This window comes from Homo sapiens, chromosome 18 (genome assembly GCF_000001405.40).
Source record: "Homo sapiens chromosome 18, GRCh38.p14 Primary Assembly".
NCBI classification, from domain to species: Eukaryota; Metazoa; Chordata; class Mammalia; order Primates; family Hominidae; genus Homo; species Homo sapiens.
In genome coordinates, this window is record NC_000018.10 from 23633461 (window position 1) to 23646512 (window position 13052).

Here is a 13052-nt window from a genome sequence, read left to right on the forward strand (position 1 = left end):
ATAAGTATCACATGATTTTTGAAGGCCTTAATTGCATAGGTACACGAAATGTTTCATCTGCACAACAGATTTAAAAGGGAGAACAAAGATGGGTAAATAAGATAAATGGTTTCATTTTTTGTCGGTGGGGGACAGAGTCTCACTATGTCACCCAGGCTGGAGTGCAATGGTGTGATCTCAGCTCACCGCAACCTTCACCTCCTGGGTTCAAGCGATTCTCCTGCCTCAGCCTCCTGAGTAGCTGGGATTACAGGCACCCGCTACCATCCCCGGCTAAGTTTTGTATTTTTAGTAGAGCCGGGGTTTCACCATGTTGGCCAGGCTGGTCTCGAACTCCTGACCTTGTGATCCACCCACCTCGGCCTCCCAAAGTGCTGGGATTAGAGGCGTGAACCACCGCGCCCGGCCAGATATGTGGTTTCTATATAAAAAAAGCCCATCTGGTCCGCTATATATTTTTCTCTTGACTCAGACCCAAGTCCTACTGTCCATTAAAGTATTTTTGAAGTTGGCATTTCTGGCATCTGAATTTAGACTGCAATTTTGTATGTGATGAGAAATGTCCTAATGTCCCCCTGAAATGCACTCACATAAAGTTGGTCATGGATGTTTGCTCCGTGCTTCAGCAAGGTCTCCACCACCTGCATGTGCCCGTACTGACTGGCAGCCAACAGGGCGGTGCCCCCGTCCTATGGACATGCAAAGTATAAACACATTAGAGGTGGCGCAGGCACATAATTCACCAGCAGATGTTCCTCACATACATAGAATTTAGGAAGAGAGTTTTCCCAAAGATAATAACAAACTCACTTTCCCTGTTTTTTTTTTTTTTTTTTTTTTTTTTTTTGAGATGGAGTCTTGCTCTGTCACCCAGGCTGGAGTGCAGTGGTGCGATCTTGGCTCACTGCAATCTCCGCCTCCTGGGTTCAAGCGATTCTCTTGCCTCAGCCTCCCAAGTATCTGGGACTACAGGCGTGCACCACCATGCCCAGTTAATTTTTGTATTTTTAGAAGAGATGGGGTTTCACTATGTTGGTCATGCTGGTCTTGAACTCCTGACCTCAAGTGATCTGCCCACCGCGACATCTCAAAGTGCTGGGATTACAGGTGTGAGCTACCATGTCCAGCCTACTTTCCCTCTTTTATCCCTTTTACTTTTTCTTTATAATTATGGCAGAGTTCATCCTAAGGACGTGATTATGTTGTATATGTGGGCGGCTTGCTAGAGATGTATTACAGTTTTTTGACCAAGTTATTTATTGTGAATTAATTTAGAAAATTCCTATGCCAAATGCAGCATCATCTATTTGCTTCTCAATATGAGAAACACAGAAGAGAAAGTCTTGTCAGTTCTTGGAATCATCAGAAAAGCCTCCCAGGGCTTCTAGCCAGAGACTTCCTGGGGAAACGCCGTCTTCTCCCTGTGATGTAACCCAGTGGTAAGCCACTGAGATTAAGGTGTTTGTATGGGGTAACCCTCTGGGGCCATTGCCCTCATGGGACAAGATCTGCTGCCATTAAAAGAGCGGATAGCTATGGCACATTCTGTGTGTCTCTCACTATCCTACTTAGTATTTTCCTTTTAACATGTGCCAATTTGTCCAGGGCTCTTTAAAAGTGTGGCCCTAAAAACTAAGCAGAAGCCTGAGCAACAAAAATTAGCCAGGGTGTGGTGGTGTGCGCCTGTAGTCCCAGCAACTTGGGAGGCTGGGGTCGGAAGATCAATTGAGCCCAGGAAGTGGAGGCTGCAGTGAGCCAAGATCACACCACTGCACCCCAGCATGGGTGACAGAGCGAGACACTGTGTCAAAACAAACAAATAAAAAAAGTAAAAAAAAAAAAAAAAACCCAACTAAGCAGGGCACTGTAAAGCACACATGCTCTGATGTGGAATGGGATATTCCTGTGTTCCATCTACTCTACTTTTATCTCTGCAGCCTAAATTAGAGCTTTTCTACCAACCACATCACACTGCTGACTCATTGAGTTTGTGGTCAACTAAAATCCTTAATTGTTTTCCTCAGGTGCTACAGCTAAGGCATTCTTTTTTCCCATCTAGCGTTGTTGAGTTGTTTGGCTCTCTGAACTGGACATCTGAGCTAATTGTAAGTAATTCAAAAACACATAACCTGGTTCTAAAACATGAATCATAAATATAAGATACTGTAGTTTCTAAATTTGGGCATAAGGTGTTTATTCAAAATGCCTACTCATAGATCCCCACCCTCAGCCCTGCCTTCAGTAGGTCTGGGGTGAGATCCAGAAATATGCCTTTTGACCAGTCATGTGGGTTGATTGTGTAGGCAGGTGGCAGGTGGGCCTCATGTGGAGAAACACTGCTATAAGAGGTCTCGAATTCGTAGGCAGGTAACATCCTATGGGGCTGCGTGTGGCTGGGTAGTGCTTCCCCAGAGGCAGGCTCTGTGGTGGGGGAGGGTGCTTGAGATGGGCTTTGAAGTGTGGGGAATGGAGAGGAGGGAGGCTGAAGGCTGAAGCTGGTGGTAGACGGCAGTGGTGAGGAGGCATCACAGAATTGCGTAACAGCAGGAATAAGCACCATTTCTAAGCTTTATCCTGTCAATTTTCCTAGCTAATAAAGTAATAAATTTTCCTGCCTAATAAAGTAACAGAAAAGATAAAATATGAAGATTCTTATGGAGGAACTGCTGTTATTTTTGTATGTATGTATGTATGTATGTCAGGGTCCTGCTCTGTCGCCCAGGCTGGCTGCAGTTGTGCAATCATGGCTCACTGCAGCCTTGAACTTTGGGCTCAAGCGATCTTCCTGCCCTAGCCTCTTGAGTAGCTGGGACTACAGGTGTATGTTACTGTGCCAGCTTTTAAAATATTTTTTACTTTTTTATAGATGGGGTCTTGCTATGTGGCCCAAGCCGGTCTAGAACTCCTGGGCTCAAGCAATCCTCCCACCCTAGCCTCCTGAGTAGCTGGCATCACAATACCTGACTAATTTTTTAAAAAATGTTTTATAGAGATAGGGTCTTGCTACATTGCCCAGGCTGGTCTCCAACTCCTGGTCTCAAGCAATCCTTTCACCTTGGCCTCCCAAAGTGCTGGAATTACAGGTGTGAGCCATCCCACCTGGCCTCTTTGATTTAATTAAAAAAATTTTTTTTAGACAGGGTTTCACTCTCACCCAGGCTGGAGTGCAGTGGCGCAATCATGACTCACTGCAGCCTTGACCTCCCAGGCTCAAGCGATCCTCTCATCTCAGCCTTCCAAGTAGCTGAGACTACAGGCACATGCAACCATGCCTGGCTAATTTTTGTATTTTTGATAAAGACGGGGTTTCGCCATATTGCCCAGGCTGGTCTTGAACTCCTGGGCTCAAGCGATCTGCCTGCCTCAGCCTCCCAAAGTGCTAGGTGTGGGCCACCATGCCCAGCCTCTTTTATTTTATAAAACACAGTTTTGGGGCATATAGATTTAGTAGCAGTGAGAACAATTGTTGAAGCAAAGTTTTGATGACAGAATCATTTAAAACTGAAAGCCTCTCAGCCCTCTCTTCTTCCCATGGAAAGCTCTTGGATACCTGCAGCTGACCTAATGGAAACCTGTGGAATTGCTCATCCTGAGTTCCATGTTCCATGGATTTCTGAGATAGTACAAACTGGCTCATGTACAAAGGCTTTAAGCCAGTATTCACTCGTTAACCAAGAAGACTGAAGCAGCCATATGGTCACTCACGATCATTTTGACCTTCGTTCAAAGAGTTGAGATTTAGGTTCATAGGACTTTACTTTCTATTTTTAGTTATCACTTTTATAATAGAAAATAAACTAATAATGTAAAAAAATATATAGTATTACTGTATGTTATACTCAGTAAGTTTGAAGGCATATACGTAGTACAATAGCAGGTTTCAGAAAAGACAAAACCTTATATGAAATTCACATCTACTTAATGGTTAGAATTTTATTATTTGATTTATTTTTTTGAGACAGAGTCTTCCTTTGTGACCCAGGCTGGAGTGCAGTGGCATGATCACGGCTCATTGCCGCCTTGACCTCTCGGGCTCAAGTGATCTGCCCGCCTCAGCCTCCCAAATAGCTGGGACTACAGGCATGTGCCACCATGCCCAGCGAATCCTTTTTTTTTTAATAGAGATGAGGTCTCGCTTTGTTGCCCAGGCTGGTCTTGAACTCCTGAGCTCAAACTATCCTCCTGCCTCAGCTTCCCAAAGTGCTAGGATTACAGGTGTGAGCCACCTTGGCCAGCTCCAGTAGTTACCATTTTAACAGAAAAAAAATCCCACTGGAAACTCCCTTGATATCTAAATAGTCCACAAAAAGGATTAACTAAGAAAACCTAAAAGTTTCCAACTTGCGCACATTTTCAGGAATTTAAAAATTATAATTAGGCTAGAAATGAGCTGACAATTACAAAAATCTTACGGCAGTTCAAATTCTGCTACTACAAAATATTATCATGTAAAATCATACTGTCAACATGAAATTAATCTTTCTACATTCTCAGCTTTCTTATCTATATGTCAAAAATGAAAATCAATTACTTCTTTTTTTTTTTTTTTTTTTTTGAGACAGAGTCTCACTCTGTCGCCCAGGCTGGAGTGCAGTAGCGTGATCTTGGCTCACTGCAACCTCTGCCTCCCGGGTTCAAGTGATTCTCCTACCTCAGCCTCCTGAGTAGCTGGGATTACAGGCATGTGCCATCACGCCTGGCTAATTTTTTTTTGTATTTTTAGTAGAGACAGGGTTTCACCATGTTGATCAGGCCGGTCTCGAACTCCTAACCTCGTGATCCCCCTGCCTCGGCCTCCCAAAGTGTTGGGATTACAGGCATGAACCACCGCGCCTAGCCAATTACTTCTTTAAAGGAAGAACCACTATATAGTTTCCCAACTATGTAAACTGTAGCTATGTATTATGTATTTCAGTGAGGATAGCTCATGAAAGTAAGCTGTCTGCCAAACCACCCTCTTTAGAAATGTCTCAGATCTAGTAGGATCAGATTAATACTTCCAACAATTCCTATCATAGTATCAGAATTAATCTTCAGTGGGAAAAAGAACATGGAAACAGGGAAAGTTAGAAAGCCACTGCTACTGTATCCCTCCTGGTTACAAAATTTAGTGTTCTACAGTAGAAAGGTATCAGTTCAGGAAAGGATAGAAGTAATTCCCCATAAAATTTTCCAATTGTGAGCCCAGAGTAAAAATGTAACGTTTTGAATAGAACCCTTAGAGCTACCCCTGAACCACTACAAGTAACCTTGAGGAAATCCACTTACTTAGGTTTGAGAATCTTGTAAAAAGGGAAACATAAATTCGTACCATAGATGAGGAGAAAAGCAATACCCATGGCTGCTGAAATTCTTCAACATAATACAAAATCAAGAAGGTTATCTCACTTTGGTCCTAAATTCAGTGGATGCTCCAAATCCAAAGAGAAATCTCACGACATCATTATGGCCTTGCTGGGCGGCAAAGAATAGGGCAGTTGTACCTGACTGGGAGAGAGGGAGAGGCTAGTTTTAAAAGACATTTGGTTATCTTACATTTGATTTGAACATCTGCAAAGAAAACAAAACAATATCCTTGCATAGAAAACTTCTAGCCTAGGAAGGGGCTAAATTTGAACAGATTCTTATTTTTTGGTCAGAGAAGTGACAAAAGGAAAGGAAAACTTTATTCTTAGTGAAATGGGATGAATGGTGGCTCCTCAAAAGATCTGTCCCCATCCTAAAACTTGTGAATATTACCTTCTATGGCAAAAGACGTGATTAAGTTAAGGATTTTGAGAAGAGCTTATCCTGGGTTATCTGGGTGGGCCCTAAATCTAATGACAAGTGTCCTTCTAAGAGTGAGGCAGAGGCACTACTCACAACAGCTAAAATGTGGAAGCACTGAAGTGTCCATCTATGGATGAGGAGACAAGCAAAATGTGATGTATCCATACAATGGACTATTATTTAGCTAAAAAGAAAGGAAATTCTGACATATGCTACAACATGGATGAGCCTTGATAACATTATGCTAAGTGAAATAAGCTAGTCATAAAAGGCCAACAACTATGTATGATTTTACTGTGATTTTTTTTTTTTTTTTTTTTGAGACAGAGTCTTGCTCTGTCACCGAGGCTGGATGGAGTGCAGTGGTGCCATCTCGGCTCACTGCAACCTCTGCCTCCCAGGTTCAAGTGATTCTCATGCCTCAGCCTCCCAAGTAGCTGGGATTACAGGCGTGCACCCCCACATCTGGCTATTTTTTGTATTTTTAGTAGAAACAGGGTTTCACTATGTTGACCAGGCTGGTCTCAAAGTCCTGGCCTCAAGTGAGCTGCCCACCTTGGCCTCCCAAAGTGCTGGGATTACAGGCATGAGCCACTGCACCCAGCCTGCTGTGATATCTAAAGTAGTCAGAGTTATAGAACCAGAAAGTATGATGCTGGTTGCCAGGGGCTGGGGGAAGGGGAGTATGGGAAGTTATTATTTAATGGATACAGAGTTGTGTAGTTTTACAAAATGAAAAGAGTTATAGATGGGTGATGATGTTGGTTGTACCACATTATGAATGCATTTAATAAGACTGAACTGTACACTTAAAAATGGCTAAGAGGGTAAAGTCTACATTATGTGTATTTTACCACAATAAAAAACAATAAATTTTTTTTTGAAGTGAGGCAGAGGGATATTTGACCCAGAGAGAGGCCAATGTGACCACATAGGCAGAGACTGGAGAGCTGTGGCATTGAGGAGAGAGTGCTGACAGCCACCAGGGGCTGGAAGAGGCAAGGAAGGGAATTCCCCCAGGAGCCTCCAGTGGCAGTGCGGCACAGCCCACACCTTGATTTTGGACTTCTGGCCTCCAGATCTGAGAGAATAAATTCCTGATGTTCGAAGCCACCTAGTTTGTGTTAATTTGTCACAGCAGCCCTTGGAAACTCAAGATATTTGGTATAGTGTTTGGTAAACACTAGCATTCCTTAATACAGGGAAGAATTCAAATTACAAATTTTAGCGCCCCAGAGTGGAAGACTACTTGTACAAGAAGGAAAATAAGTAATTCACCCACAAACTTCTCCAATTGCAAGCCCAGAGTCAAAATGAGCTCAAAACATTTCTCAAAATGGGACATAATAACAAGAAACATCCTGATTCTAAAATTTAAACTGATCATGACATTCTGAGACACAGTTTTTAGCATCCTCCCTTCCTATCTACTTTTACAAGTCTACTCAAAGATTGGTACCCAAATCACTGTGTAATATGAGCAAAATAATGAACCATTCTTGTGGGCAACATACATTTTTCCTATAGAGTACTCTTCACTTCTGAGCTTGGAGCTTGGGACAAAGCTAATACCACACCTTACCAGACACAGTGAAAAGAAATCCCTTTTTCCATAGTTTACCCAAAGCTGTTAAGATGGTAGGTCTCACTCATGTGTGAAAAGCTGAGGACAGCCTGGCCTATAAGCTAGTGATCATGCTTAAAACTTGTTCTTAAGGGCCTGGGTGTCTCTGTGAATATGTACGTGTGTGCATGCATGTGTGGGATGGGAGTGGGGACAATAAGACCCACTGAGACAGGCAGGATCCACCCACTTGTTTGCCTGTTTTTAAATGTGGTCTAGAAAAAAAAAAGCCCCTTACTCAAGCTGTAGCTTGCCTAACTTCTCACTGATGGCAGTGGTGGCCTGTCTGGAGCAGCAGCTGCGAAGATGCAGGCTGCCACACGGGAGGTGCAGCTGGGGCTGCATGCTCCTCAGGTCCAGTGGGAGCTGGAAGCAGGTGGGAGCCCCATCCCCTATTGAGTTGGCTGTGCGGGAGCAGCCATGCCCAGCTGCAGCTCCGGTTCTGGGCATCCCTGTGCTCTCTGGGCCTGGGAAGCCCCCATTACCCCCACAGGCTTGGAAGTGCCTGCTCCTGCTCCCTGGCCTCTCCCCACTCCCGGCACCTGCTCCAGTGCGGAGCAAAGCTGTAGCCGAGCCTGGGTGCTGTCTGTCATGACCTGGCTAGGGGAGAGCATGCTTGAGGTGTGTATGCTTGAGGTGGTGTTGACATGCCAGCCTTGCCCCCCAACCTTGGCCCCCTCCGGACTTTGGGTGCTGACAAGCACAGGAGGGAGGCTGAGGGGCTGAGGGCAGCTAGGTGTGGGCCTGTAGGCGCCCCTTGGCAGGAACAGCCTGGGTGCCGTGGATGGCATGTTGATGGTGAGAGGCAGACACGTTCCCACCCATGGCTTCCCATGGACCAATCAGCACACACTCCCTCCTTTCTGAGCCCATAAAAACCTCTGACTCAGCCAGATTCAAAAAGATGTCCCGACTACCAGCTGCTGGAAGGATCTACCCATTGTGGGTCTCCTGTCCACTGAGAGCAGGACACAGAGGTCAGGACTACCAGCTACAGGAAGGAACTACACACTGTGGGTCTCCTCTCTGCTGAGAGCTGGACCCAGATATCGGGACTACCAGCTGCGGGAGGAGCTATCCATTTTGGGTCTCCTCAGATCATCAGGATGACTTGCCTGCGGAAAGGCGCTACCCACTATGGGTCTCCTCTCCACTGAGAGCTGAACACTTGTTAGGATGACCTGCCTGCAGAAAAGAGCCACCCACTTTGGGTCTCCTGGGAGGTGTTCTGTCACTCAATGAAGCTCCTCTCCACTTTGTTCACCCTCCAGTTGTTTGCATACCTCATTCTTCTTGGATGCGGGACAAGAATTTAGGACCTGGCGAATGACCCTGTTTATAACACAAACAGGGCTGAAACACGCCTTCTGCTTGCCACATTGCAGGCAATGAGGAGAGAGGAGCTACAGCCCTTTGGGGAGCCCAGACCTAGGGGCTCCCTGAGCCAGGGCTATGATATCCTCTTTGGGGCTCTGCGGTTCCTGGCATCTCCAAGCTCCCAGGCACCACTACATTCCCTGGTGCCTGCAGCGGAAGCCACTTGCGGTACATCTGGTCCAGCCACAGCCTCACACAGAGCTGGCACCTGTGCCAGTGGCTGGAGCTGCCTGCCTCGCCACAGCTGGCATGCCTGGTTGTGTGCAGTGGCTGGACCCCATGCTTGCTCACACACCTGGCTTGCCCTTGGCAGGCATGGGACCTGGGCTGGTAGGGTGAACCAAGTGCAACCTGCTGGGCCAAGTGGGCAGAATGAGCCCAACGGGCCTGAGCAACACTTGGGCAGAAGGCGCTGCTAGCCATGGAGGTTTCCAGCTGGCAAAGTGACACCCTAAGGATCCTGTGACAGCCAATCAGCAACAAAAGACCCAAGAAACTATCCAGAAGTTCTCACTTTAGGTGGGTAGGGACTTCCTGGGGCCCTGCATGCACAGTTAGACTTAAACTTCAACTTACAGTCACCTCTTCCTTATCTTAATGCTAAAAATCACACCTGAAGGTGGAGATTTAAAATGCTAATCTTACATGCAATGATTAAAAAGCATATTGAGCTACTGTGCAAGTGCTGTACATGCCCTGACTAAACCCTTCCCTGTAAAAAGACCCTATAAAACAAACTCACATACTTCTCTTGGGGAGCAGGCAACCCTTTTCCTTTCCATAAGGGAACCTGGTTCTCTTATGCACAAGCTAAACAAACTTCCTCTTTGCTATCTGACAATCTCTTTTGACTTCTATCCTGGGAGATTATAAGAATCTAGGGTGCTGATAACACCACCACTGAGGGAGAACATGTAACACCTTCCTAGTCAGATATAACCCACATCAGGCTGTGCCCTCAGCCAGACTCTGTCCCAGGAAGGCACAGGCATTGTGACCATTCACAGGGCCTTTCTGCCTGCAATGCAGGTGTGATTTTCTCCTTGGTTCCCACAGAAATAAGTGGGAAGCATCCTCCCACTGCTTTATTACAGTTGATGATGCTGGGTTCCGGAAACCTTAGGGAATTAATAGTTCTGGAGGAAGAAACTTGGCTAGAATAGGAAAACTCTCACCTTCTCAATAGATATTAAATTTTAGAGACTACCAAAGGTCTTTTCTAGAAGTTGTTTCTTTAGTAAGATAAATAATTTGCTTTTCAATAGGCTTTCTTGGTACATTAATTACATAAATCATTATTAGAGCAGTTTGAGCTGATTTTAGAACATACATACTACTATTAATCATTCTGTACCTCAATGCAGCAATCCATAAATAGGAGCTATACCTTAGTCTGGAATGTGAATAAAAGTTTTAAATATGTGTGCCTTACTTCAGGGCTTCATGCCAACTGTATGTGCAGCTCCTATGCCTGAGAGGTGTCATCAGCCAATTGTGGGTTCTTTACAGCAATAGTGTTTCAGGAACATTAGTTTCCAGTTTGTCTCTCTAGCAAGCTCTGTGTATCTAGAGAGCTGACCTAAGCAAGGAGTGGCAGGTAGTTTTTCAGGAGACAAATATTCTGATATTGCAAAGTGGATTAACTAACAATGGATCAAGGCAGAAGTCTGCCATAGGAGTAAGTTTCAAAGCACTGCAAGGCACTCTTAGCTTCCAAAACTGGTACAGGAGGCTGAGGTCTGCCTTTGGCTTGGCAGCCCTCTTGCCCCAGACTGACACAGTCTCAGGAAATTCAGGGACTGCCAGGAACTTACATAGCACCATCATTTGAGCCACGCAGGTTACCTTTAAGCTGAGTACACTTTGGTAAATCTTCAAAGGCTTTTGTTCTCAGTGCTACGAGAGTTTTCATCTCCAAGATTAGTTGAGCAATTGGAACCAAATGGATAAATATAAAACCATAGAAACCATAGACTGGCTAGAAATCAAATACTTCTCTCCTCTTCTAGCTGCTTTTCTCAGTTGTTTCAGAGAGATTTTTGTGCATGTGCAATTTGTCCTTCAGGATAAAGTTTTTAAAGTAAACCAGATCTGGACCATATTGTTTTTATTAGAGAAAAACTGTCTTTAAAGTTGTAATAAACAAAGACCATAAAGCAGAGAGGAAAAATAAAAAGATTAAAGTAATTTTAAACTGTAATTCTAAGTGGGTCCAGATATTTTCATCCCACAGGAAAATTAAGTGCTGAAGTGAAAATGACCTCAAACAACGATCTAGTGTTATGGAAATTGCACCAAAGAATCTGTTTGTGAGAAGACTGCATTTGCTGTAGTCTCTTTATACTGCTCCTCTCAAGAGACCAGGCCTGTTGATCCAGGGCTACAGAGACCCAGTCCCAGATTCTGCATGTCACTCTTTCATGGTCCACAGCCAAGGCCTCCAACACCCAGACGGGTGGTGGGAAGGACATCTGGATGTGTCTTGGAACTCTATTTTTGAGTCAGGGTCTCTCTGCATTGCCTAGGCTGGTAGTACAATCATGGCTCACTGCAGCCTGTAACTTCTGGGCTTAAACGAGCCTCTAGCCTGAGCCTCTCAAGTAACTGGTACTATAGGTGTAGACCACCATGTCTGGCTAAATTTTTAAATTTTTTTGTAGAGATGGGGTCTTGCTATGTTGCCCAGGCCTATGTTACACCTGGAACTCTTGACACAGTCCTGAGACCTGATGTGTCTTAATTTGCTCCACTCAGAGGTGACGGTCCAGGCTGGAAGAATGAGATATACGATATACTGGCTTGATGAAAGTTTGGTTGGTGAATTGTCTTTCTAAAATGTTGCAAGGCATGACCTGGGATAAAATAAGGCTGGACCAAGGAAAACCAAGTGGTTCAGTCTGGACTTGCCCAGGAAGCCCATCTCAGGTCTGAGTCAGTGTGAACTGAGAGGTCAGATACACTCTAGGGGTGACCTGAGCGTGTGTCTCCATAAAGATTAGTTTACCAGGTCCTGGGTCAGCTTGGAAATATATGGATGGAGCTTTCTCAGAATTGAGCCCCAAAGTATGTTAAAATGTCCCAGCCTAGGCAATCCCGGCACTTTGGGAGGCTGATGTGGGCAGATCACGAGGTCAGGAGATCGAGACCATCTTGGCCACCATGGTGAAACCCCATGTCTACTAAAAATACAGAAAATTAGCTGGGCGTGGTGGCACACACCTGCAGTCCCAGCTACTCGGGAGGCTGAGGCATGAGAATCACTTGAACCTGGGAGGTGGAGGTTGCATGAGCCGAGGTTGCGCCATTGCACTCCAGCCTGGGCCACAGGGCGAGACTCCATCTTAAAAAAAAGTCCCAGACTCCCTTCTGCTTCTCTAGATTAGACCAAGAATGGATCCTCAAGCAAGACCAAACTCCCAAGATTGTCCTTGAATGAAGTGTGGGAACAGGCTCACATTTTTGTCCAGTGTTGACCCATACGGCTTTTTCCAGGAGAGCTTATTTAATTCATGGCCAGTTAGAGAGCAGTCCTTTGAAAACATGGTTTGGGGAGGATGATTGAGACATCCTAGCAAGTGAGCCTCATTACAAATAGGCTGGTGACTCAACTCTTCTAAAAATATAATGATCTATATGAAAATGCTATAAATCCTACAGTATCTCATCCCAAGGGAGTAATAAAGAACTGATTTAAGCTTGATAAAAAAAAAAGTGTGAGTGTTTATAGGCAGGTGGTAAGAGGTTTGGTTACCTCAGATATGCCCGACAGGCTACGCTCAAATGCATTATAACTGCTAGTACGTTGCTGGACCTCATTGTAGGCACAATAAACTCTGCAATGGGCTTTAATGTGGGAGAAAAGCAATGATGGCTCTTGTCCCCCATACCAGTTCACTATCATGAAAACTTCAGATCTCTGAGCCTGGTCATTTTTCTTCAAGTGCAAAGCCTGACCTACCTCTCTCTGGAGATTGATGTCTGCTCCTTGCAGAACCAGTTCCCTCACACAGTCTATGTGGCCAGCGTAGGCAGCAACCATCAGGAGTGTGGTGCCATGCTGGATGGAGGAGAGACAGATGAAGAGTTAGGCCACTGCTATGTCAGAGAGAAGGGTCCTAGAGAAGATGCTGCAGAGATGTCAGCTCCACTCAGAACACATCCAAGGGCAAAATTCCCTGCAGTGATAAAAGTGGTCATGAATAATCTCATCATGCAGCCTAGATGGGAAAAAGCAAAGTGACAAATTGCTGAGGTTGGAATTTTCGATGTAAAAATTCACTTA

At 45.0% G+C, this 13052-nt stretch overlaps 1 protein-coding gene across 11 annotated transcripts in view; it reads right to left on the minus strand.

Annotated features, from left to right (window-relative positions):
* ANKRD29 (ankyrin repeat domain 29) overlaps nt 1-13052 on the minus strand; it is a 63986-nt gene that overhangs the window by 34535 nt on the left and 16399 nt on the right. For 7 of the 11 annotated variants that reach the window (NM_001308238.2, NM_173505.4, XM_047437305.1 and 4 more), the window contains 3 exons: nt 12729-12827; nt 5389-5487; nt 591-689 (listed from right to left, as the gene is read on the minus strand). In NM_001308238.2, the coding sequence (NP_001295167.1) occupies nt 591-689; nt 5389-5487; nt 12729-12827 (297 nt within the window). Of the gene's footprint in view, nt 1-590; nt 690-5388; nt 5488-12728; nt 12946-13052 lie in introns of all 11 variants that reach the window. The other 4 variants (XM_017025561.2, XM_011525830.3, XM_047437308.1 and 1 more) reach the window with 2 other exon arrangements.